Genomic DNA, 27022 nt, shown 5'->3' with positions numbered 1-27022 from the left:
TGTTTGTTGCAGCACTATTCACAATAGCCAAGCTATGGAGTCAACCCAAGTGTCCATCAACAGATGAATGGCTAAAGAAAATGTGATTTCACACACACACACACACACACACACACACACACACGCACACAGAAATACTATTCAGCAGTAAAAAATGAAGTCTTGTCCTCCATGGCAACATGGATGAGCCTAGAGGACATAGTGTTAAATGAAATGAGCCAGGAACAGAAAGTTAAACATGTTCTCACTCATACGTAGAAGCTAAAAAGTTGATCTCATAAACAGTAATATTTTTTACCTACATTAGTAGTTGTCAGTATTATTATTTTACACACTCAGTGCTCTTTTAGATTTGCCTGTATTATCTTGCATTTTCTTTGCTCATCCAAGCTTCATGTATCTTATTCCATCTTCCTAGGTTCAATTATTGGAGACTGGAAAGGGAAGGGAGATATAGGGAAATTTGTTAAAGGACACAAAATTGACAGGAGGAATAAGTTCTAATATTTTATATACTGTGGGATGACTATAGTCAGCAATATATATTTTCAAATAGCTAAAAGAGAGGGTGTTGAATGTTCCCAACACAAAAAACGATCAGTATTTTAGATGACAGATACACTAATTACCCTGATCTGATGACTATACATTGTATGTACAGAAACATCACTACATACCCCATAAATACATACAGTATTATGTGTGAATTTTTAAAAATAAGTAATTTTTAAATGCAGTCATTTTATACTATCTCTTGAACACTGTTCAGCAGGATATAGATTCCATATTGATGATTATTTTCATTAGCACTTAGAATATATTGTTCCATTGTGTGTGGTCGTGATTGTTGCAATCGTGAAGTTTGCTCTCAGTCTAATCCGAGTGTCTTTATAGTTATACGTTTTTAAAAAGTGCTTTCAGTGGTTATCTTTTTCTTTGATAATTTACAATTTAATTTTAATATTTCTTTTTAAAACAGTGTTATGAGGGATGATTGACATACAATAAACCGCACATATTGAAAGTGCAAAATTTGATGCATTTGATGTATGTTTATGCTTGTGAAACCATCACTACAGTTAAGATAATAAACATATCCATCACCCCAGTCTCTCCTTGTGCCCTTTGTAATCCTTCCCTGCAATTCTCCACCCTCAGCCTGTCCCCAGGCAACCACTGACCTACTTTCAGTTATCATAGGTTAGTTTGCATTTTCTATAATTTTATGTACCTGGAAGCATAGTGTATGTCCTCATACTTTTGTGGGGTCTGGCTTCTTTCCTTCAGCAAAATTATTTTAAGATTCATCCATGTTTTTGGCAGTATCAACAACCCATTTCTTTCTATGGCTGAAGAGTCTTCAATTTTATGAATACACGCAATTTGTTAACGCATTCACGAGTTGATGAACATTTGGATTGGTTCCAGCTTTTGGTTATTACAAATAAAGCTGTTATAAACATTTGCATACAAACCTTTATATAGACATATGCTTTTATTTCTCTATGAGTAGAATGGCTGGATCATATGGCAGGTGTATTTAGCTGTTTAGTAAACTGCCAAACTGTTTTCCAAAGTGGTTGTGCCATTTTTACCTTCCCACCAGCAGTGTAGGAGGTTTCTAATTTCTCTACATCCTTGCCATCACTTGGTTTGCCAGTCTGTTTAATTTTACACATTCTGGCAGGTGTGTAGTGGTGTCACCTTGTGGTTTCAATTTGCATCTCTTTATTGAATAATGATATGAAGCATCTTTTCATGATCTTACTTGCCATCAATATTTCTGTTGGTGAAGTGTCTTTTCAAATCTTTTGTTCCCCTTTTTATTGGATGTTTGAATTTTATTATTGAGGTTTGAGAGTTTTATACATTCTGCATAGAAGTCCTTTACAGATATGTGATTTAAAAATACATTCTCTTGATCTATGTCTTTTCATTCTCTTAGCAGTGTATTTTGAAGAGTGGAAGTTTTTAATTTTGATGAAATGCATATTATCAATTTGTTCTTTTGTGAATTATGCTTTTGATGTTGTATCCGAAGTCACAAAGATTTCTGCTCTCTTTTAAAAATTTTATAGTTTAAGGTCTATGATTCATTTGAATTAAAGTTTGTATATGCTGTGAGGTATGAATCAAAGTTCACTTTTTTGGGGATTCAGCATCATTTGTTGAAAAGACTATACTTTCTCCATCGAATTGTCTTTGTACTTTTGTCAAAAATCCATTGGCCATATATATGTGAGCCTATTTCTGGAAACTCTATGTGTTTCATTGATCTATTTGTCTATATTGTTTTAATATAGCTTTATATTTAGCCTTCAAATCAGATAAATAAGTCCTCCAACTTTGTTCTTCTTTTGCAAAGTTATTTTCTAGGTCCTTCATTTATTTTCCATATAAAATGTGAAGTTCAATAATTGATTTTCATTTTAAAAATCCTTCTGGAATTTTGATTGAGATTCCATTGATCTATAACTCAACTTGGGAGAATTGATAGCTTAACAACTTCAAGTCTTCCTATCCATGAACATGGTACATGTTCCATTTAGTTAGGTCTTCTTTAATTTCTCTCAGCAATGTTTTGTAGTTTAAAATGTACAAGTCTTACACATGTTTTATTGGTTTATGGCTAACAATTTTATATTTGTTAATGGTATTGGAAATGATAACATTTTTAAAATTTCAATTTCTGATTGTTATATGTAAAAATACCATTAGTTTATGTATATTAATCTAGAACTCTGCCACTTTGCTAACTCACTTACTAGTTCTAGTGGCTTTTATTTCATGGATTCCATGGGCTGATCTACACAGATGATAAGGAAAGTGTTACTCTTTCCAATCTAGATGATTTATTTATTTTCCTTGCCTTATTTCATGAGATAGAACCTCCAGTACAATGTTTAATAAAAGTGGTGAGAGTAGATATCTTTACCTTGTTCTCAATTTTAGGAAGATATAGATTTTTGTTGTTGTTGTTGCTGTTTGTGTAGACGGCCTTTATTCTATGAGGACTTTTCATTTTTATCCGTGGTTTTCTGAGGGTTTTTAATCATGACTCAATGTTGGGTTTTATTAAGTGCTTTTTCTATTGAGATGATCATGCGCATTTTTCTTTTTAGTCCGCTAATAAGATAAAGTTCATTTATTGATTTTTGAATGTTAAATCAACTTTGTCTTCCTGAGGTAAACTACACTTTGTCATGATTTAGATAAACTAGATTTGCTAAAATTTTGGTAAGAATATTTTCATCATTGTTCATGAGGGATATTGGTCTCTGTTGTCGTTTCTTATATCTGTTTGATTTAGTAGGAAAGTAACATTCTCTTCATCGAATAAAAAAAGTACCTCTTCATTTTCTATTGTCTGGAAGGATTTGTGTAGAATTGTTATTTTTTCCTCAAATATTGTTAGACTTCACCATGAAAACCACCTGGGCCTATAGTTTGCTTTGTCATTGGGATTTTAATTAAAAACTTGATTTAGTTAATAGATATTCATGTTATCTATTTCTTCTTGAGTGAACTTTGATAATTTATGGCTTCTAAGGAATTAGCTTATTTCATCTAAGTTATCAAATTTATTAGAAAAAAGTGGCTCACAATAGTCCATTGTTTCCTTATAATGACTGCAGAATATTTGGTGACACCCACCCTTTCATTCCTGATATTGGTAATTTGTGCCTTTTTACCTTTTTCTTTATCAACTGACTAGAAGTTTAACAATTTAATTGATTGTTTAAAATGATTAGCTTTTACTTTCTTGGATTTTTCTTATAATTTTTACTTTTCTCTTTCATTGATTTCCGTTCTTTTTATTATTTTCTTTTTCAGCTTACATTGTGTCTAATCTGCTCTTCTCTTTTCAGTTTCTTAAGTGAAAATGTAAGTCACTGATTTGAGACCTTTCTTTTTTGTTATAACATAGGTTCTTAGTGCTTAAATTTGCCTCCAAGCATACATTAGCTGCATCTCCCTGATTTTGGTATGTTGTGTTTTCATTTTCAGCTCAAATAACTTTCCAATTTCTCTTTTGATTTCTTATTTGAGAGATATGGTTTGGCTCTGTGTCCCCACCCAAATCTCGCCTTGAATTGCAGTTTCCATAGTCTCCAGGTGTCAAGGGTGGGACCAGGTGGAGGTAATTTAATTATGGGGGTGGTTCCCCCCATGGTGTTCTTTTGATAATAAGTGAGTCTCATGCAATCTGACGTTTTTTTGGTGTGTTTTATTTTTTCAACAATTAATGTCCGCCCTTTAATCTCCCCAAGAGGGCTGGGCCCAGGCAGAACCCATCCCAGCACCCCCACCTACACTCAGAGACCAGCCCTGGGGGCCCAGGATCACCCAGCCGTTGGAGGGCCACACACAGGGTCCATTCCTTTCTTGCAGTCCCCCAGCTAGACCCTCTCCCCCAGTCCGGCGCTGTGGGCCCCGGAGCCTAGGTTCCTTCTGCCCTGGAGGTTGGGGAAGTCCTGGATCAGCAAGGGTGGGCTCGAGCATCTTCTCCACTGTGTGCGTGTGTTGGGGGCATATGTAGATGTGTAATGAATGTGCGTGTGTACACGTAGATAAGGGTGAATTCTGCATGCGCTGGCTTCCTGAGATCTGCACAGGAAGTGGCTCTGTGACCCCCGCCTGGCCCGAAGGTATTATTTTTTCTGGGCCAGGAAGGCCCCACCGAGAATCAGGGCTATGGCTGCCACAGCCACATCTCCAGCCACCAGCAGGGGGTTCAAGTTCTCGCAGGAACAGGGACCTCGACCCCTAGGCCCCCGCTGGCAGCCTCGTCCTCCTCTGCCCCGTCCCCAGGACCCTTGGGCTCCGGGGTTGCATCAGGACTGCTGGGCACCATGGGGGCTGTGGGGGCTGGCTTCAGGTTGCCGTGGTTGTTGAGAAGGACGGGGTTTGCCTTGGCCGGGGTCTTCTTGGCAGGCGCCATGGTGGGGGCTGCCAGTGGCTGCTGCTTCTCTGCCGGGGCTTCCTTCTTCCAGGGCTCGGTCAAGGGGGATTTCCCATCGGCTGCCGGGGGTACCTTGGCCTCGGTGGTGGCCTGGGTCACCTTGGTGTCGGGCTTGGGGCTGCTGGCCGATTTCCCTCTGGACTCCGTGGTGGGCAGGGTGTATGGGACAGGCAGGTGGCTGCAGCAGAGGGGCTCAGGACAGCTCGTCACCCCTGGGCATTCTATGGACACGTCCTCCGGCCTCGCCTGGGTTGCGTGCTCCTCTGCAGGACGGCGGCGGCTGCAGACGCAGAGTAGAGCTCGGAAGTTTCCGCAATCTGATGGTTTTACAAGGATCTGGCATTTCTCCTGCTGACACTCATTCTCTCTCCTGCCGCCCTGTGAAGAGGTGTCTTCCACCGTGACTGTAAGTTTCCTGAGGCCTCCCCAACCGTACAAAACTGTGAGTCAATTAAACCTCTTCTCTTTATAAATTACCCAGTCACGGGTATTTCTTCATAGCAGCGTGAGAAAGGACTAACACATCAAGTCATGGGTTATTTAGAGGTGTGTGCTGTTCAGTTGCCAAATATTTTGAATTTCTAGATATCTTTCTGTTGTTGATTTCTAATTTAATTCCATTTTGGCTGAGAATTTGATATGAATCTAGTCCATTTGTTGAGACTTGTTTTATGGCCTAGAATATGGTCAATCTTGGTAAATGTTCTGTGTGTCCTTGAAAAGATTGTGTATTCTGCTGTTATTGGGTGGAGGACTCTATAAATGTCTGTTAGGTCAAGGTGATTGATGGTGTTGTTCAAGCCTCCTTTTTTTTTGCCCATTTTCTATCTACATTTTTCTAATAATTACTGAGAATAGGGAGTTGACACCTCTAATTCTCAATTTATTTATTTCTACTTGCAGGGTGATCAGTTTTTGCTCCATGTATTTTGAATATATGTTATTATGTGGATACAATTTAGGATTATTATGCCCTCTTGATACATTGACCCTCTGTTATGAAATTACCTATCACTGATATTATTTGCCAGGAAATTTACTTATATTGTGATTAATATAGTCATTCCAGCTTTCTTTTGATCAGTATTAGCATGGTGCATTTTTTCCTAGCCTTTTACACTTAATCTGTTTATAGTTTTACAGTTAAAGTGGGTTTCTGGTAGTTAGCATATAGTTGCTTTTGCCTTTTTGTCCCAATAAGACAATCTTTGCCTTTCAAGTATAGTATTTAGTTTTAATGTGATTATCGATGTGATGGGTTTAAATCTTCCACTTTGTTGTTTTCTACTTGCTTTTTTTCCCTCATCTGCTTTTTTTTCTTTCCTCTTTTTCCAACTTCTTTTGGATTAACTGAGTATTTATTATGATTTAGTTTTATCTTCTTTGTGGGCTCATTGGCTATACATCATTTTTGTGTGTGGGTGCTTTAGGTTTTATAGGATACATCTTTAGCTTATGTTCTACCTATAAGTAATATTACACCACTTCATGTGTAGCATAAAATTCCTATAACAGTAATAATCTAGTTCCCTTGTCCCAGGGTCTGTGTTCTTGAATTATACATTTTCTTTCTATACATGTGATAAGCCCCACAATGTTGTTATCACATTTCCTTTAGTCAATTATTTATGTGTTAAAGAACTTGACTATATTTTATGTGCATTCATGATTAAACCCACAAGTTTACCGCTCCTAGTGCTCTTCATTCATTTGAACAAATCTAGATTTCCATTTGCTATTATTTTTCTTCTGCATAAAGGACTTTATTTAACATTTCTTATAAGTCAGGTCTGACAGCAATGAATTCTCTTACCTCTCTTATGTCTCAAAAAGTCTTCATCTTGCTGTGGTTTTTAAGTTTTTTTTTTCTGGGTATAGAATTCTAGAGTGACAATTTGCTTTTCCCCTTTGTATTTTAAAGGTGTTTCTCCACTATCTTCTGGATTTCATTGTTTCTGATAAGAAATTGGTATCATTCTTACAGTTGTTCTGTGTATATGTCTTTTTTTCTTTGCTTTTAAGGTTTTCCCTTGATTACTGGTTTTGAATAACTTGATTGTGGTGTGCCTTGTTGGCGTTTCTTCATGGTTTACCTCTACCTGGGGTTTATTTAGCATCTTGAAAAAATTTCAGCCATTACTTTTCCAAATATTTTACATCCCCTACTTCTCCTTCAGGACTCCAATTATACATACATTAATCCATTTGTGGTTCTCCTGCAGGTCACTTTTTCTGTCTGTGTTTTATTGTGGAAAGTTTCTATTGCTATGTTTTTAAGTTCACAGATCTTTTCTGCCAGTGTCAAATATCCTGTTAATCCCACTCAGTGCTTTTCCCATCACAAGAATTGCCATTCTCATCAGCTGAAGTTTTGTATCAATCTTTTTTTACATCCTCCATGTTTCTCCTTAACCTGCTCATGCCTTCCTCTATCTTCTTTAACACATGGAACATACTTAAAATAGTTGTTTTAATTTCTTTCTCTACTAATTTGATCACGTGTTGTTTCTCAGTCTGTTTCTATGGATGGATTTTTTCTTCTCATTTGACTGGTATTTTCCTGTTTCTTTGTATGCATGTCTGGTGACCTTGACAGGATGCCAGACATTGTGATTTTTATGTTGTTGGTTGCTGGGTATTTTTTTTACTCCTGTAAACATGCTTGGACTTTGTTATGGGGCACTGTTAGTTTTACTATTTTGACTATTCTTTTTTGAGGCTTGTACGTCAGTTTTGATAGTTGGGACCACAGCAGCCTTTAGAGGAGAGCTAATTATGCCCCATCTGAGACATGCCCTGCCAAGTACTCTAACCGTGTTTTGTGTACTATGAGATTTTGCCATTCTGGCTGGTGGAAACGTGAGCTACTCCTAGCCCTGTGTCAACTGCAGAGATTTTCCTCCCTGTTCCTTTCTGGTGGATCTTTCCCTGGTCTTGATGCCTTCTACATATACATGTACTGACCAGGAAGGCTGTCAGGGAAATTGGTGCAGAATCTGGAGCTCTTTCTCTGTGCAGCTCTCTCCTTTCTATGCATTTTCTCCACCCAGATCCTCTGCTCCAGGATTCTAGATGCCTTACGCTCTGAACACTCAACTCTGCTTCCTCAACTCAGGTAACCACTGGCTCTGGGCTGAGCCCTAAATACTCTCCAGGCAATAAGCTGACCATCACAGGCATCATCTCTTTCACTTCCTCTCTCAGGAGTCACTCTCCTGCACTGCCTGATTTTCAACATATCAACATCATTATTTTATACATTTTACTTGGTGTCTTAGTTGTTTCAAATGGGAGGGTAAATCCAGTCTCTGCTACTCTAGCATGGCCAGAAGCAGAAGCAGAAGTCTGCCCTGTATAATATTTGCATTTTAGTGGAATGCTATTTATTTGTTTTCCATTTTAAAACTCAGCAAAGAGACAAAGCATGAAAGACTTCATTGTAACTACGAAACAGAACTGGACACCGTAAACCTTGTCCGTGTAGAGCAGAAGGACCGCTCATGGGCCTCAGGAGCTGAGCGGTCAGTGGATGCTGGGGGTATTCATCTTTTTCAACTTCCATAGTGAGGAGTGATATTTTTTTCTGTCTAAAGCTAAGAAATTGGGAAATGGAGGCTTGTGTTGTTTATTTAGAGTTTCTTAGGACTATTAACAGAAAGCTTAATAGCCAAAAGCGGAGCTGCCATATTCTGGGGTTGGCTCCCGAAGGCAAGTCTGTGTGTTCCTCACCTCCTTCATGCCTGGTGCCTGGCACCTGAATGAGTGAATGAAAGAATGGATGGATAGGTGGGCGGGTGGTAGGTTTGAGGGAGCACAGAGGGAATGGCCTCTTTTGTCACTTACAGCCTTCTAAGTCCTGCTCCCAGAGGTCATCCTGCACAGTTCTATTCCTCCCACTGTGTCATCTGAACTGCTTTTAGAAGTGACACTTATCACTCACCTGTTACCCACAGAACCTGATGCTGAAGCCCAAGATAACCCAGCAGTCCCAGGCTCCTGGCAAGTTTGACTTGGAAGATATAGAAGAGGTCATTGGGTCCAAGTCCTCCGTTTTTCATCTGGGAAAAATGAAGCCCAGGGTGGGAGGGCTCAGCCGAGCTCACACATAAGAAGTTGCAAAGCTCTTGCTCCCCAAAACCTTATTTAAGATTTCCTCCAAAGTTTTACCACAAAAGGAAGGGAACTGGACTGACCCGGAGAGGACCATCTGGTGACCCAGTCAGCCAGAGTTGGTGTGAGCACATGCATGCGTGTGCATGTAGGCACGTGAGTCTGCGCATGTGTACGTACATGTGTGCACATACAGCATTCTACTCAGATCCATGTCCTGGCCTTGCTTTGGGAGCCCTGGCAGGATTGCAAGGGCCTCTGCTGTAGACAGGGGCAGGTGTGGTGGAAACAAGGTGGAAGGAAGTGAGAACAGGCCAAGGCTCTCAGAACAGACACAGAACAGAGGTGAGGGATGATGGTCAGCGTGTCTGGCTATTGTTAGTCCCTTGCAGGAACAAGAGGGCCCGGGCCTCCCTCACTACCTGCCCGTGGGAGCTGCAGAATTAACATCTTGACAGAGTGGGTGTGAACTCGTTTTACTCCAATCTCACTGTGCCTGTTGAATAGACCAGAACCTGTAGCATTCCAAGGCAATCTCAGCTAGATACTGCAGATCAAACAAACAAACAAACCAAAGTCCTGCAAAGGACTCCAGAAGTCAGTCAAATCCAATCACAGGGGGAGTCCAGGCTGAGTTTAGGCAGTGGAGGCAGGAGTGGATGGACAATGGACAGATGGCTGGGAGGTGCTAGCAAGCCTCCCAGCTGTGACTGCCCTGAGCCCCCATGCACTGCACAGTGGTGGCGGGGCAGGTACTGCCTACTTCCCGGGTTACTGAGGGTCCACGTCACTGAGTGAGAAGGAGGCATCATCCCTGGAAGCAGCTTTGGGAGCCCCCCTGGTATCAGTGAGGGTGTCAAAAAGGCCAGAGGGGTAGGAAGGGAAGGGGCCCCAAGCACAGCAGGGCATCCAGGGACATACAGGCCTGTGATAGGTTCAGACCTTCAAGAGGGAGCAGAGTGACTTGCAGAACCAGGAGCACGGAGGGAGCTCAGGAGCCGGACAGGAGGCTGGACCTGCAGCGACCCGGAGCCAGCATCCCAGGGACAGCCAAAGAGAGCCAGAGCTGCTCCTGGAGGCCAGGGCTCCTGAATGAAGGAGTCTCATTAGCCTCTGCAGGAAAGCCAAGGCCATGCAGGACCACTGGGCCGTTCGTTCATTCGTTCATTTATTCACGTGCTCATCCACTCCTCACCCACTCATCTGTCACTCACTCACTCATTTATTATCCTTCCCTCTCTCCACACACAGTCGGGAAAATGCTGCTTCTTGACCAGTCATCTGCCCAGCACTGTGCTAGCCACACATGGCTTTATTTCATCCTGGTCACAATTTTAAGGGAAGCTACAATAATCCTGCCATTTACAAATGTGGAAACCTAGGCTCGTGGTGCCAGCTGTTCTCCCCTCCCCCCAGCCCACCGTCCCCCAGGACACAGATCCCAAGTGCTGGAACCCAATTGGAAGGTGCCTCTGTGGGTCTTAGCTTGCTCAGCAAGGCAGGATTATAACATTTAAAAGTCAAGATGGAAGCTCTTGGTGGTCCCAGAGGTGAGCTCTTTCCTAGAAGACTTGGTGCCAAGGCCTGGCTGAGGAGTGGTTAGAGTCTGTGTCTGCAGAGATCAACTGCCCTGGCCTGGGCCAGGGGATGGGGGTGCTGGCATCCTTGCATCTCCAATCCAGCAGAAGAGGGAGCAGGCAGTGCCCAGTGTGGAGAGAGGCAGAGCGGACCTGGAAGACCTTCAAGGCCATGGCAGAGAAGAGATGCTGGATGCTTCCAGTCCCAAGTCCCGGGGGCTGCCCTGAGCCCACAGGGACCTCCTGCTGGTGTTGTGGGGAATCAAAACAGGTGTCAAGGTGCCTAGGCAGGAAAGGATTAAAGAAGGGCTGAAAAAAAATGTAATTTACATGCAAAAGTCTCTCTATCCTTCCCTCCAGACAACCCAAGGCTTGTGCAAACCAATCAATATTTAATGAAGACATTTCCCTCTGACGTGGAGGGAGGCAGGTGGTTGCCCGGCTTTCCTCTGCACAGGGAACAGACAGGAGCTCCGGTCTGCAGGGCCTTGATACACCTTTGGGGTTGATTCCTCTGGGCCAATGCCCATCCCACTGTCTTGAAGGATGCCCCATCTCTCTGATCCTGGGTTCATTCTTCCCCCTTTCTCCCGCACCCAGCTGCCTTGGAAATGGGAAGCTTCCTCCTTGTGCACTTGAACAGCCCAGGTGCCCACACCATGCCATGAGCACTCAGTACATGCCTGCTGTGGGAATGTCGGAATGCGTGAGTGGGTAAGTAAGCGAGTGGGTGAATGTGCAAAGAATTGATGGAGTGAATGGGTGAGGGGATAAATGGGTGCATGGGGGAGTGGGTGAATGGGTGAGTGGCTGAATGAATGAGTGGGTGAATGGGTGAACCGGTGAACTGTTGAATGGGTAAGTGGTGAATGGGTGAATGGGTGAGCAGGAGAAAGGGTGAATGGGTGAATGGGTGAGATGGTGAATGGGTGAGATAGTGAGTGAGTGAGTGGGTGAATGAGTGAATGGGTGAACAGGTAAATGAGTGAAGGAGTGAATCAGTGAATGGGTGAATGGGTGAATGAGTGAAGGAGTGAATGTGTGAATGGGTGAATAGGTGAATGGGTGAATAAGTGAATGGGTGAGTGGGTGGGTAAATGAGTGAGTGGGTGAATGAGTGAGTGGGCGAGTGGGTGAGTGAGTGGGTGAGTGAGTGGGTGAATGAGTGAGTGGGTGAGTAAGTGAGTGGGTGAATGCTTTCTCAACTCCCACAGGTGCATGGTTCCAGCTGCCTGAGGACTCTCCCTGTGTGGACGCACCTTGCTAGGAGTTCAGTGTGAAATGCACTGATGTACTCATCAGCCACCAGAGGCCCAGACATCAGGCAGGTGTCCTGGCTGGTCAGCCACAGCCCCTCCTCCCCCAGGGCCTGGGCAAACCTGGTAAGGCTTCATCTACTCCAGGCCCCTGGGCTCTTCTCTAGGCCCTTGGGGGGGATGAGACACGTCCCTGGCTCCTCTCCCTGCCCCCACTGCCACTTTGACCCACTGTGGAGGCTGCTTAGCTCCATGAAGCTCTGGGATCAGCCTCATGCCCCAGAAGTGAGTGATCTTGAGCCCCAGCCCCGAGCCCAGGGTTCCCTGCTTTGGAGACTGGAATTCTCAGGCCTTTCTTCCTCAAACACGGACTTGCTGGAGCCACATGTGGGAGACTGGACAGGTCATCCTTGGCCTGGATCCCCACAGCGGTGCCCGAGCTGGATGGGAAGTACACACAGCACGTACACCATGCACCACACACCACACATCCAGCAGCAGACGCTGCTGCAGAGGGAAGCAGAGGGCTCGAGGAACAAGAGGGGAATAGGGGCATCAGCAGCGCCCCTCCAGGAGGTGCATTCGGCTGCAGCCTCGAGCAGGGCCAGGCTTGAAGGGGGTGGCACAGTGGAGTGTGGCGCGGAGTGAGGGAAGCCTGAGGCAGGGGGAGGCCTGCAGAGCCCTGCTGGGTGGGGAGGAGGAGGCTTCTGGAAGGACCAGATCTGCTCTGGAGGAGAGCAGCCTTCCAGCAGGTGAGGGGCAGGGGCTTCCAGACCAGCCTGAGCCTGCCCTGCTCTGCAGCTGCCACTGGGCCCCGGAAAGCAAGGGGCCTGCTGCCTGGGAAAGCCTCATTTGCAGGGAGGTGACCCTCAGGGTCCAGAGTGGGGAGGGCCGGAGTGGCTGGGCTGAGCTGTCCCCTGAGGACTCTCGTGGGGGACAGTGCTGGGGCGGCTGGCCTGGAATCAGGATCAGAACTCCTGGGTTCCCTGTAATGTGCTGAGACAGAGCTGCGGCCGGGCCTCTGACTCTGGGGTGGGTGGGGCCCTCTGGGGCACCCCCTCGTTAAAAGTTAGTGCTGAGGCAGAGTCTTAAGTCGGAGCAGGCAGGGCTCCCCTGCAGGCAGGCAAATCACAGCCTCAGCCCAGTGATTAGGCACCACCTCTGTGGAAGGGTCCCAGAGCTGCCTGTGATCCCTCACCCTGCAGTCTGAGTAATTCCTGAATGACAACCATCCACACTCCCTCACCCGTGCGGATACTGCCGGAAGAGCCCTTGCCAGGCCCCTACAGCTGGGTCTTCCCAAATCCACCTTCCACGGCTAGTTCCATCCTGTCCTGGGGTCAGTGGGGGAAGGGCAGGCCAGGCTCTCATCCCTCACCATGGCTGCTCCCCGTCATTCACTCATTTGCTCTTTCATTCCCTCATCCCACTGCTGTTTTCAGATGCTTCTGGAGCACAGAGCTGGCCATGTGGTTGGCTGGGAGCGGCAGATAAACCCATGCAAGTTTTATGGAGGAGAAAACAGAAGTTCTGAGAGATCACTTGCCCAAAGCCACATGGTTGGAAGGCTTGTGTTCATCCCTGCTCCCAAGACTCGCCTGACTCCACAGCATTCCATAGCCCTGGCCTGAAACTCTGGTCGCCTCGTGCCCGGTGTAAGGGTGGGGGCACTCCCAGGAGGGCTCGGAGGAGGCTTGGCTGGCCGTGTTCTGGGCCCTGCGTGATCCCAGGTTCTCCGACGGACCCCGGGGTGGCCGGGAGAAGCCGTATGTGCTGTGGACAGAGGTGTCTGCCCCCCAGCCCTGCCCAGGCCCAGGTCCTGCTCCTGTGCCTCGTGAGGGGGTGTTGCTGCCCAGTGCAGGCCTCACCTAGCAGTTCCTGGGCACTGGCTGAGGTCTGCTCCTGCTCCAAGTCCGGGGTCTCAGCCAGGCCCAGCCGGTGAGGGAGGCTGTGTGGCCTCGTGGGGTCGGGGCGGGTAGCTTCGAAGTGGTCAGCTGCTGCCTGCTGTGGCGGCTGGGGCTGGAGTCCTGCTCCTGGCTTTCCAGGATGCACAGGCTGGGCTTGGAGGAGCAAGAGGAGGCGGATGGAGGGCGGAAAGGAGCCCAGGGCCATGGCTCCCAACTCCTCTGAAAAGCCCGTGAGCTCGATAGCATCCACTTTGCATTTTATCAAATCGCCATTTCTCACAGAAGAATCTGTCAGCCACCAAAATTGCTGGCTGAAAGGAGCAGGAATGAAAAGATTCACCTTGAGGACATTCCTCTTTGTCAGGAGCAGAAAAGATTCCATTTGCCAGCCGGGAGAGGATTCCGGGTTCATTGATAGCAGCGTGCTGAGCTTCACGGGGAAGGGCTTCAGCAAATGGTCCTGCTTTTTCATGTGAAGCAAATTGTGGATAATGCGCCCTGCATTCTGTAATTACGAACATGAATAAAAGGGCCTTGGGCATTCACCGCGGAGTGGAAGCCTGTGTACCACCCAGGCATCCAGCAGACGGTGGGCCACGTGGTGTGGCCACTGCTGTCCTGCTGTCCTCCTGGCCTACCATCCTGCTGGCTGTTCCTCTCCAGCTGAGGCATCCTGGTGCCAGTGAGCCCTGAGCCCTCCGTCTCCAGCTGCTGCCCCATGCCCAGTGCCTGCCTGCTCAGCTCCCAACTCACCCGTGTCCTTCCTGTCTCTGCCCCAGCGAGGTTTGCTAAACCATGTCCATCCTCCAGCCCCTTGGAGCACCCTCCCCCAGGAAGCCTCCCTGACCCACCATCCACTGGGCTGTCTCCCATGCTGTCTGGAGCCTCACTTGTGCCCGTTGTCCAGGGCCTCCACCCCCGGCAGGGGTCCAGCTCCGTCTCCCTCTGTGCAGGCACCAGGTGACTCTGGGACTCAGCCCCTCCATCAATAAGGTGGACACCACCTTTGTGTTGCAGCTGGAAGGAAGGACAGGGCCCGGAATAGGGAATGGGCAGGGGTAGGGGAGCTAGGGACTCTGGCTCAGCCCCACCATGGATTTGTGGGTGTTGTGGGTGAATCTCTTCCAATCTCAATGCCTCAGTTTCCCCATCTGTCACTGAAGCCTTGTATAATCAGAAAGGGATGGGTTGGTGGTACAAATCCCAGAAAACACTACTCGAAACCCCACCATTCAGTTCCCACGTCTGTGGCATTAGTGTCCTAGGCTGCCGTACCCAGGTGTAGGCACACCTTGTTTTATTCCTCTTCACTTTATTGCACGTTGCAGATACTGTACTTTTTTTTTAACAAATTGAGGGTTTGTGGCAGCCCTGTGTTGAACAAGTCAATCAGAGCTGTTGTTCTAACAGCACGTTGCTCATGTCACATCTCTGTGTCACACTTTGGTAATTCTCACAACATCGCACGCTTTTGCATCATTACTGTATGTTATGGTGATCTGTGGTCAGTGATCTTCGATGTTACTAGTGTAACTGGGGAAACCATGAACCATGCCACATCTCTCACTTTAAATCAAAAGCTAGAAGTGATTCACCTCTGTGAGGAAGGCAGGTGGAGACCCCATGCAGGCCGAAAGCTGGGAGCTGGGCATCTGGTGCCGGTTGGCCAAGTTGTGAATGCCAAGGAAAAGTTCTATAAGGAAATTTTAAAAATTTTAAAAATGCTGATGTGGAGACAGCTCGAGTGGTCTGGATAGATCCAAGCAGCCATCACACTCCCCTTAAGCCAAAGCCTCACCCCCAGCGAGGCCCTGATTCTCAGTTCTGTGAAGGCTGACAGGGATGAGGAAGCTGCAGAAGAAAAGCTGGAAGCTGGCAGAGGTCGGTTCGTGAGGCTTAATGTGTGTCCCCAGAACATGAAAGTGCAGGGTGAAGCGGCAAGTGCTGACGGAGAAGCTGCAGCGAGTTATCCAGAAGATCCAGCTTGGATCATCGACGAAGGTGGCTACACTAAACAACAGATTTTCAACGTGGAAGACACAGCCTTCCATTGGAAGAAGATGCCATCTAGGACTTTCATAGCTAGAGAGGAGAAGTCGATGCCTGGCCTCAAAGCTTCAAAGGACAGGCTGCCTCTCTTGTTAGGAGTGAAGGCAGCTGGTGACTTTAAGTTGAAGCCAGTGCTGATTTACCATTCCTGAAATCCTAGGGCCCTTAAGAATTACGCAAAGTCGACTGTCTGTGTTCTGAAAATGGAACAACAAAGCCTGGATGACAGCACATCTGTTTACAGCACGATTGGCTGAATATTTTAAGCTCACCGTTGATACCTACTGCTCAGAAAAAAAAAAGGTTCCTTTCAAAATATGACTGCTCATTGACATGACCTGGTCACCCAAGAGCTCTGCTGGAGACTCGCAGGAGACGAACGTTGTTTTCATGGCTGCTCACACGACATCCATCAGGCCGCCCACGCATCAGGGAGTCATTTCAACTTTCAAGTCTTACTATTTAAGAAATACATGTTGTAAGGCTGTAACTGCCATAGACAGTGATTTCTCTGATGGATCTAGGCAAAGTCAATGGAAAATCTTCAGAAAGGATTCTCCATTCTAGAAGCCGTGAAGAATGGGAGGAGGTTGAGATATCAACATTGACAGGAATTTAGAAGAAATGGATTCCAACTCGCATGGATGACTTTGAGGGTTCAAGACTTCAGGGAAGCAGGAACTGCACATGTGGTGGAAATAGCAAGAGAACTAGAATTAGAAGTGGAGCCTGAGGATGTGACTGAATTGCTGCAGTCTCATGAAGAAACTCGAATGGATGAAGAGTTGCTTTTTACGGATGAGAAAAGAAAGTGAACACTGTTGAAATGACAACAAAGGATTTAGAATATTCCATCAAAACTTAGTTGATGGAGCAGTGGCAAGGATTGGGAAAATTGACTCCACTGCTGAAAGAAGAACTACTGTGGATAAAATGCTGTCAACAGAATCGCACGCTACAGCAAAATCTTTCAGGAAAGGAAAAGTCTATTGATGAGGCCAGCTTCACTGTTGTCCTAAGAAATTGCCACAGCCACCCCAGCCTTCAGCACCCACCACCTCCATCAGACAGCAGCCATCAACATGGAGGCAAGACCCTCACCAGCAAAAGATGATTCACTGAAGGCACAGATGGTCGTTAGCATTGTTTGGCAATGAAGTGTATTTTAATTAAGGTAAGTACATTGTTTTTTAGACGATGCTATTGCACACTGAATAGACTACAGTACAGTGAAAATGTCACTTTTATATGTACCGGGAAACCAAAAAATTCATGTGACTCACCGTATTGTAAAACTCACTTTATTGCAGTGGTCTGGAATGGAACCCACAATATCTCTGAGATTTGCCTGTACCAGATCGTGGGTGGCTTAAACAACAGAGATTTTTTCCCGCAATGTTTTGAAGGCAGAAAGTCCAGGATCCAGGCATTGACAGGGCTGGGTCCTTCCGGGGCTGTGAGGGAGAACTTGTTCCACAGCTCTTGCCTCGTTTCTGGAGGTTGCTGGCCGTCTCTGGGGTCCACGGCTTGTGGAAACATCACCCCGACCCTTGCTCTCACCCCCTCGGTGTTTGCCCTGTGCACGTGTTTGTATCCAAATTCCTTCTTTTTATAAGGACAACTGTCATGTCCGATGAGGGGCCTGCCCTGCTGCAGGGTGGCCTCATTTTTCTAATCACATCTGCAGTGACCCTATTTCTAAATAAGATCACGTTCTGTGTACTGGGGATTCGGGCTTCGACATCCAAACTCCACCTGTAGCATCTGGAGCTGGTGGCTTGGGCTGCTCAGCCTCTGTGCTGGCGTGTACCCCCGACACAGGCCACAGGGACACCTCCTCCCTGCAACCCCTTTGCCATGGGATGGCCCATGCCAGGGGGACGGCTACTTGACTTGGGGGACGCAAACAAGGTGGGGGCTGGTCTGAGGCCAGAGTCTGCATCTGGGTGCCCCACCAAGGCTGTGTTCACACCTCTGAGAGCTGACCCACAAACTCACCTGGGACCCGGGGGCCTGCAGCCCTCAGGACCTGCCCCTGCCCTCCCCTCCCCTCTTTCTTTCCTTTGCTTTGCTTTCTTAGAGGATACAGAATGGATGTGGCTGGTGGGACACTCACAAGGGGCTTTTAGACACTGCCTAGTAAAAGAGCTTGGCGCTTGAGGGGGCTTGGCCAAGTCTTCATCCCCCACCTGCGGGGCATCCAACTGCCCTGGATCCCCTGCGTCCCTTCACTGTGACCTTGGGCCTGGAGGGAGCAGACAGGCAGGCCTCACCTCCTGCGCTGTGTGCAAATTAAGTGCTGTGATGCCAGTGGAGCTGGCCCCCGGGGCTGGCCTGGGTGGTCAGGCCCCCCTTCCTTCCTCCTTCCCTGCCTCCCTCCCTCCTGCCCTTGGAAGAACAGCCTGGGCTCTCACCCACCAGGGAAGACTTCTTTCTGTCTCTCTCTTTCTCTCTGCTGTGGTCTGGGGGCTTCCAGGGGTGGTCTCCTCACTGTGTGCTTAGCGTCTCCTCCCTGCCCACTCCCAGGCACTTTCTGTTGTGTTCCCATGGGGTGGGGCGGGGTGAGGGCACGGATGTGGCATGTGGCCTTCCCAGTGAGCGCTGAATAATTAACAGCCAGGTAATGAAAGGCTCACTGGGTATTGATTGTGCCCTGGGGCCAGTGTGGGGAGGACTCATGTGTCCCAGCCCAGTGTCACCACCCACAGGCAGGCGGGAGGGCACCAGCTCAGAGGAACCTGAAGCCAGTGAAGGGCCCACAGCTGCCCACTGAGCAGCTGGCCAGGGCCCAGGAACTCCCCCTCTGCGATACCTGCCCCAGGAGTGCCCTGTCAGAGGGGAGAGGCCCAGGAGAGTGGGCGCTTACAGGAGATCCCCCTGCCTGACAGTCCTGGAAGGCTTCCAGGGCAGGTGGGGCTGGGCCTCCTGCAGCTGGGTGGGGCCGGCAGAGGTGGGCAGTGTGCTTTCAGGGCCCTGCAGCAGCTGGAGCCACCGCCTCATCCAGAGCCCCGCTGCTCAGAGCAGGGCTGCCTTCCCTCCATAATTAATTCATTGGGCCTCTGGCCCCTGTCTGGCTGCATCTCCACAAGGGAAGAAAGAGACCAGCCACCTCCCTCTCTGAGAGCAGCTTACACAGCAAGGCCCGTCAGGCTGAGCCACAACCTGGGACCCTCACCCTGCCCCCGTGCTGTGCTGGCCTGGCCCTTGGGTTCACCCACTGCTGGCTGCCTAACACCCTGTCCTCCAGGGGCTGGAGTCCAGCCCCTTTCTGGGAGCCCCCATTCCAGCCCCACAGGCAGTGTAGTAGCCAGTGCAGAGTCCGCACACGGCAGTCACCTGCCTCTCCCCTGGCCCTGGCTGGGTGACTCCCTGGGGTGTGGGGTGAGGACCATACGGCTCCTGTACCAGGGGCAGCCCCAAACTCCTTGCCTGGTGCTTCACCAGCCCCCAGCGTCTCCAGGTCTGATTGACTCATTATCTGCTCCATCGCCCTCCTTCCCACACCTAAGCTCTGACCCTGGGTAGGGGTCCAGCCTTGCCGTGTCTGAGGCCAGTGGAGACGGGCCTGGCACTGCCCAGCAGAGCACGCACGGCCATGCTGGAGCTCACCCCACAGGACGGAGAATGACACCAGCGCAGCTGCAGTAAGGACCAGGGGGTGCCCGGGAGGCTGGAGGCTAAGTAGGGCCCCTTGGTCCTGTGGTGGGAATGGGAACAGGGCCCTGGTGGGAGGGAAGTCCTGGGACAGAGCTTGGCCAGCCAGACACAGGCATGCAGTGGGAGGAGCTTGTGTCAGCAGTTCCTGGGGGAAGCTTACGGTCAGCCCCCGGCACGTCTCCTGGCATGGCCGCGGAGAAAACAGGCCACTGCGGGGAGGCAGCCGCCGGGCTAGGGGCTTGGCAGAGTGACCAGGCCCAGCTGTACACCCTTGCTGCCGTCCTGCTTCTCCATAACATCCTGTGTGGTTTCCTGCCCTGGCAGTCCTGGAGCCTTCACCCCGACTGCCCCAGGCCTGCCTCCCTCAGCTCCGCCCATCTGCAGGAGGCTCAGCTCCACCTCCCCCTGGAAGCCCGCCAGGACTACCGGGCCAGGCCAGAGGGCTTCCTGCGAGCGCCCACTCTCCTGGGCTTCCTCCCTCCTAGTGGGCGCTCCCCAGTGGACACGGATTCACTGTGCGTCCCTGGACACCTCTGGAATGTCAGCTGTCCCAGCGCATTGTCCCGATTTGTGGGATGGACTGCAGGGTTGTTGGGAGGAATAGAACAGGGCCCACCACAGCCTGGGACCATCTGCACCAGCTGGGATCATAGCTTGGGGCAGATTTTCCTAGTTCTGGCAAGACTTGCTTGAGCATAGAGAGGTCAAGGAGGCCGCATGTCTTGGGGGTAGAGTGCAAAGGGCAGGGGCTGACCCTTCCCAGTTAGCGGGGGTCCTGGGGAGGAGTAGATGCTGGGCCATCGTTCCGTGGAAACAGGACTTTAGGGGAGCCAGGGCCGTGGGCCTACCCTCCCTTCTCACTGCTGGTGACCAGGCTCGGCTTGAGGATGGGCGTGGACACGCTGGCTGCAAGGGCGCCATGTCTGGCGCCTACCTTGGGCCTGCTCTGCTCTCCTATGACTGCCAGTGGCCCCAGCACAGGTGATGGAGGGAGTGGGACAGGGTCCTTCCCCAGCACCTGCCCTCAGGGTGGCTGGACTGCCTGATGACAGCCTGTACTGACCCTGTGGTGCTGGCAACCCCACAGGAGCCCTAGGCCCTGGCCAGCCAGGCCTTCTTGGGGCACGACGGGGCCAGGGCTGGCTCCAGGGAGCCACTCGGCTGTGGGGCGTGGGCCTCATTTTAGGGTTTCTCCTCCTCCCACTCCAAGGCACTGTGCCCACTAGTCACCCCTTGCTGGGCCTCCGGGGGTCACAGTGAGGCTGGGCCAGGTCCCCTGCCTGGAGCCCACCTCCCTGAGCACCCCGACTGCCCCACAGGAACCATGGTGGGACTTGCTTGCTGGTAGCCATCAAGTCAGCCCTGCGAAGTCTGATGTTTGGAAATGCCGCTCACAGGCCACCTGCCTGCTCTTGGAGGCCCCGTTACCAGGAAGGCCTTTCCCATTCTGCAGGTCTGGGCATGTCGTGAGTGGGCCAGCACTCACACTGCCTCACAGTGAAGGGCACACAGCTGGGGACCCTGGAGTCCTCTGCTCCGGGAGGGGGTCCAAGCCCCTGAGACTCACCCTTTTCCGGGTAGTTCCTAGCCCTACAGCATGTTCCTGGCCAAGACTCCCACCTCCTGCCCTGCCCCTGGCCCTCCCTTGCACCCTGGGGGCCTCCTTACGTTGCTCCTGGGCATTGCCCTGGCAACCCCTGGTCTCCATCTTCCCTCAGTCCACCCCACACCTGCTGTCAGCATCAACTTCAAACACATTCCAGAGCCTACCCTTCTGCTCAAGGACCCGCCATGGCTCCCCATTGCTGTGGGGTCAGAATGCCTCTGTTCAGTCCCCAGCCCTCTGTTTGGTTCCAAATGAGTGCCTGTGTGGGACTGCTCAGCCCCTCCCTGCAAAGCCCATGGAACTTATACCTACCTTCTGGAGTCCTTGGTTGCTGGGATCAGGGCACCCCTGAGCAGGTGGTCCTGGGGATGGAATAGGGTTGGCTGGAGGCACCACAGCAGCTAACACGGCCGGGGCTCCAACCTCCCACCCGCCCCTTTCTGTTGTGTTGAAGGATGGGGGTTGGTGAGATCCGCCTGGCTCCAATCCAACCCCTGCCACTGGCCAGCAGCCCCTCCAAAGCAGGGGCCCCCCACACCAGTCCAGAGGGCCATCCATGCTGGTCCCCACCTGCTCCAAAGGTGTGGGGAGGCCGGTGGCGGGTGGCGACAAGCAGGGGCACAGGGCACTAAAGCCCTGACCTTACATTAGCAGCCGTGAGACTTCTGTCAGCATCCCAGGCCCCTCGGGGACAGTGTGGGGCAGGAAAGCTCAGGCTGGTAGACTCCAGGGGAAGGGATGAGCCCTGTGAACTCCCAGTAGCCCCAACCTCACTCCCCGAGGCCCAGGAAACTTTGTTTCAGAAATCAGGTTCTGGGCTGGGGACAGAAAGAATGCAGGACCCGGACCTCCTGAGGTCACTTTTACAGAGAAGACCCCTCCAGCTCCGGGGCGCCTGAGCCCGCTCTGTCTGCAGAGGGCAGCCACTCACTGCAGGCGCGGGCCCACGTGAGCCCTAGGCCGAGGCTCTGTGGCTGGTTCCCCCTCTGGAGGGCAGGAAGGACGGGGCCTGAGCTCAGGCGGGGTGGCCCTGCACAGGGTCCCTCTAGACACCCTCAGGCCTTGCCTGAAGCTCACCCTCCAGGGAGGTAGCAGGGGCCACCTCAGGTGCCACAGGTGCTCTTGACAGAGACTGTCACCCTGGTCTCTCCGTGATCCTCAAAGGCTGGGGCCACTTCTGTGACAGGCAGCCCAGGGTGTGGTGACCGTGCCTAGCCCACCGTGAGCATCCGGGAGCTGGGGACTGGCGGGCTCCAGGGTGGCTACCAGCTTGTGAAGGAGGGGTTGGGCTGAGACCTGGCCCACAGGACATCACCGAGGAAGAGATACCACTGAAAACAAAACCCGTTAGCCCCGTGGCTCTAAAGTGGACCAGGGAAGTCTCGGGGAACCCCGGCCGTGCTCCTCAGAGCAGCTGTGGGTGGAGGTCACCTCGGAGCGGAGCAGGCACAGGGTGCCCCCATGGCTGGCCCGACTGGCTGGAGGGGCTCCAGGAGCCCTGTGGATGCCGTGATTGGAGGGGGCGGGCGCTGCCCTCTCTAGAGGGGCCGGGGTGGCAGGGACACTTTGCCACCACAGCAAACTCAGTTTCTGACCATCTGTCCTCAGCAACTCCACAAGATGGAGGAGGTGCTTCTGGTCCCAGTTGTGATTCCTTCTGTGTGGGCTAAGAGCTCCTTCTGCAAGCTCCAAGTCCAGGCTTTGCTCCAAACTGGGCACCGCTGCTGTGCCCCACCTTCCTGAAGGCCTCCTCACGGGTGTGGGCAGGTGGGCCAGGCTCGGGGCCCTCAAACAACGGGGCCGGGGCAACCACGGAAACCGAAGCATCAGCGCCTGTCCACAGTGCGGGGCCCGTCTGGAGTAGCCGGCTCCCTGCCACCCCCGTGGGAAGGGCACCCGGGGCCTGCCAGTGCAGAGCCACCCTGAAGACGACTGCTGCTGTGGACAAGCTCAGGGAGCCGCCAGGTGCTGCTGGGAGGGCTGGGACAGCCAGGTGCGCCTCGGGCCGCAGCTTGCAGATTAGGGGAGGTGAGGTGAGGGGGATGAGGAGGTGTGGGTGGTGCTTGAGCACCAGCCTCAGAGATACCCTCCCGGCGGCCACATCCTAGGCTGGGAAAGGGGTCTGTGCAGCGTTGTTTGCGTCCGTGTGTTCCACGGGCTCCGGCCCCTTCAGGATCGGCCTCCCCACTGCTGGGCCAGGAGCCGGTTGGGCATCTCCAAGGATGTCCCCAGGGCTGACCCTTGGTGCTTCATAGACTCCGAGGCTCCTTGGTTGTGTCCCCAGCTCTGGGTCTCTCTGGTCCCTGGTCCCAGACCCTGGTGGAACCCAGGGTGGTGACCCTGGCCAGAGCCCTGGTGGGCTGGCTGCTGTGGGTCCCAGGCAGGCCCTGGTCTCCACCAGCCCTGCCACAGAGTGCAGGTAAAATGGGGACCGTAGGTATGGGGAGGCCCAGCCAGCCTGGCCAGATGCAGAGGGCCAGGCAAGTGGTTGCTCTCGGTGGCATGGGGACCCATTTCTCTTCGCTCCTTTCGGGCTTGGTGTGGCCCAGACCCTTCCTCAGGCCTCACCCCACTCTGGCCCAACCTCAAGCTGGGGCCTGCCCCAGGGACCACCCTCCACATCACTGGAGCGTGCAAGGACCATGCCCAGACTGAGCCCCTACCCCAGGATGGGCTACAAGGCCCTCTGGAGACATGGGGTGGCCAGAAGGGACCCCTGGCCCTCCCTGAGCCCAGGTCAAGGCTGTGCCCTGTGGGGGCAGCTCCAGAGCTGTGCCGGCTCCTCCCACAGACAGCAGGGAGAGGAGCCTGTGCTCCTCCCACAGGAGCCGGCTCCTCCCACAGACAGCAGGGAGAGTTTAGTGTGCAAACTGGAAGGCCAGGGCCCTTCTGGGGACCGGATGCTCACCTGAGCCCCTCCTTGGAGGAGGAAGCTCCTCGAGGAGGTGAGGTCTGGCTGTCCCGGCCCCTCCAATGTCGCTATGAGCCAAGGTTGGGCAGGCAGATCCCACCACCATGGGGCAGGCAGAGCTGGGTGACCGTTCCAGGACACTGTCTCTGGAAATTTCTGCAAGACACTTGTGAGGGTGAAGTGTGCTCTTCCACCGCCACCTCAGGAGCTTCAGCCCGGCAGGCAGCCCCACCCCTGCCCAAGCCCTCCTGCTTCTGGAGCTGCAGGAGGACCCATCTCAAACTCCTGAGGCTGTCAGAGCTCTGCCACTGCCCCTTCCCTTGGCCCAGGCAGAAGCTGGCACGGGGCACCCCCCATGTCCCTCACCCTAGGCACCTCTGCTGTGGGGTCCTTGGGACTTCTCTCCACCTGGAGCTGGCTGGTCCACTTGCAGCAGACGCAGCCTGAGGTGGGTACTGGGCCCATCCTGGGGTGGAGGTGGGGCACCTACGGATGCGCTCAGCCCACTGAGCTTCTGGATCCTGCTCTCCAGAGCGGCGATGGCAGGGCCGCTTTAGGACAGAGAAGGCAGTGGCCCCCACACACGGTGGGAGGGGCTGAAAATCCACAGAGCAGCTTTGGAAAATTGGATCTACTGAAGCAGGACCGTGGCTCCACGAAGACCCAGATGAGCCCGCAGTGGGACGATGAATGGATAGGGTGCTGCCACCGCAGTGGAATTAGTGAATGGATATGGTGCTGCCTCCGCAGTGAGATGAATGAACAGATATGGTGCTGCGCCCGCAGTGGGACGGATGAATGGATATGGTGCTGCGCCCGCAGTGGGACGGATGAATGGATAGGGTGCTGCGCCCGCAGTGGGACGGATGAATGGATATGGTGCTGCGCCCGCAGTGGGACGGATGAATGGATATGGTGCTGCGCCCGCAGTGGGACGGATGAATGGATATGGTGCTGCGCCCGCAGTGGGACGGATGAATGGAAAGGGTGCTGCCTCCTCAGTGGGACGGATGAATGGATATGGTGCTGCGCCTGCAGTGGGACGGATGAATGGATAGGGTGCTGCCTCCGCAGTGGGATGGATGAATGGATAGAGTGCTGCCTCCGCAGTGAGACGGATGAATGGATATGATGCTACGCCCGCAGTGGGATGGATGAATGGATATGGTGCTGCCTCCGCAGTGGGACGGATGAATGGATATGGTGCTGCGCCCGCAGTGGGACGAATGACTGGCTAGGGTGCTGCTCCCGCAGCGGGACGGATGAATGCATAGGGTGCTGCCTCCGCAGTGGGACAGATGAATGGATATGGTGCTGCGCCCGCAGTGGGATGGATGAATGGATATGGTGCTGCGCCCGCAGTGGGATGGATGAATGGATAGGGTGCTGCGCCCGCAGTGGGACGAATGACTGGCTAGGGTGCTGCTCCCGCAGCGGGACGGATGAATGGATAGGGTGCTGCCTCCGCAGTGGGACAGATGAATGGATAGGGTGCTGCCTCCGCAGTGGGAGGGATGAATGGATATGGCGCTGCGCCCGCAGTGGGACAGATGAATGGATAGGGTGCTGCGCCCGCAGTGGGACGAATGACTGGCTAGGGTGCTGCTCTCGCAGCGGGATGGATGAACGGATATGGTGTTGCCTCCGCAGTGGGACAGATGAATGGATATGGTGCTGCGCCCGCAGTGGGATGGATGAATGGATATGGTGCTGCGCCCGCAGTGGGACGGATGAACGGATAGGGTGCTGCCTCCGCAGTGGGACAGATGAATGGATAGGGTGCTGCCTCCCCAGTGGGACGGATGAATGGATATGGTGCTGTGCCCGCAGTGGGACAGATGAATGGATAGGGTGCTGCGCCCGCAGTGGGACGGATGAACGGATAGGGTGCTGCCTCCGCAGTGGGACAGATGAATGGATATGGTGCTGCGCCCGCAGTGGGATGGATGAATGGATATGGTGCTGCGCCCGCAGTGGGACGGATGAACGGATAGGGTGCTGCCTCCGCAGTGGGACAGATGAATGGATAGGGTGCTGCCTCCCCAGTGGGACGGATGAATGGATATGGTGCTGCGCCCGCAGTGGGACAGATGAATGGATAGGGTGCTGCGCCCGCAGTGGGACGAATGACTGGCTAGGGTGCTGCTCCCGCAGCGGGACGGATGAATGGATAGGGTGCTGCCTCCTCAGTGGGACGGATGAATGGATATGGTGCTGCGCCCGCAGTGGGACGAATGACTGGCTAGGGTGCTGCGCCCGCAGTGGGACGGATGAACGGATAGGGTGCTGCCTAAACGCAGGGCAACCTGAGCAGCAACACGGACAGTCACACACAGAGCAAAGGCCGCTGGACGAGCACGCGTGCTAAGTTACAGAGGCTGGAGCGGGGCAAGGATGCGGCCAGGGAGCACCCACGGGGGCTGTAGCAGCTCCAGGGGCTCGGGAGGAGTCTCAGGGCGGTGATGTCTTGGCTGTCCGGGCGCCATCACCCCAATGTGCTTTCCATGAAGATTTACTGTCAGTCAAGTTTCCTGAAACATGAGGAGGGTGGAGTCAGCGCCAGCAGCGGGGTGGTGTTGACGGCGTGCACCCTGGAGAGGGTGTGAGCAGATGGCCCTTCCTCCCCACGGCCACAACCCCAGGCTGCTTGTGAGAAGAACACCAGCCGCATCCCCGCGGGGGCATCCTTCAAAGTGCCCGCCCAGGGCACCTCACCACTGTCAAGGTCATCAAAACAAGGAAAGTGGGAAACTGTCCCAGCCAGGAGGTGTCCAAGGAGGCACAACGACCAAACGCCATGTGGTCAACACCGTAGGAACGGGGGAAAAACAAAAACACAAAAACAAAACAGATGTCACCTGGGATCCTGGATGGGGTCTTGGGAGAGGAAAAGACATCAGGGAAAACCAGGAAATCTGAATAAAGTGATGTTGTCATGAATCATGTCAATATTGCTCCTTAGTTGTCAGACGCTTACACTGATGCA

At 51.8% G+C, this 27022-nt stretch overlaps 1 pseudogene, besides 3 other annotated features; it reads right to left on the bottom strand.

Annotated features, from left to right (window-relative positions):
- Window positions 4252-5253, bottom strand: CEND1P1 (cell cycle exit and neuronal differentiation 1 pseudogene 1; annotated as a pseudogene).
- Window positions 14275-15057: an enhancer, noted in NCBI's record as "H3K4me1 hESC enhancer chr14:104907366-104908148 (GRCh37/hg19 assembly coordinates)". NCBI's record gives its function as "activates a minimal SCP1, AML or CMV promoter by ChIP-STARR-seq in primed H9 embryonic stem cells {active_cell/tissue: H9 hESC(primed)}" and the evidence as "EXISTENCE:reporter gene assay evidence [ECO:0000049][PMID:30033119]".
- Window positions 20233-21098: an enhancer, noted in NCBI's record as "H3K4me1 hESC enhancer chr14:104901325-104902190 (GRCh37/hg19 assembly coordinates)". NCBI's record gives its function as "activates a minimal SCP1, AML or CMV promoter by ChIP-STARR-seq in naive H9 embryonic stem cells {active_cell/tissue: H9 hESC(naive)}" and the evidence as "EXISTENCE:reporter gene assay evidence [ECO:0000049][PMID:30033119]".
- Window positions 23283-24056: an enhancer, noted in NCBI's record as "H3K4me1 hESC enhancer chr14:104898367-104899140 (GRCh37/hg19 assembly coordinates)". NCBI's record gives its function as "activates a minimal SCP1, AML or CMV promoter by ChIP-STARR-seq in primed H9 embryonic stem cells {active_cell/tissue: H9 hESC(primed)}" and the evidence as "EXISTENCE:reporter gene assay evidence [ECO:0000049][PMID:30033119]".

The sequence above is a fragment of the Homo sapiens genome, chromosome 14, assembly GCF_000001405.40.
Source record: "Homo sapiens chromosome 14, GRCh38.p14 Primary Assembly".
Taxonomy (NCBI): Eukaryota; Metazoa; Chordata; class Mammalia; order Primates; family Hominidae; genus Homo; species Homo sapiens.
The sequence above is the reverse complement of the archived record's forward strand: the minus strand, read 5'-3'. Positions and strand labels throughout refer to the sequence as shown.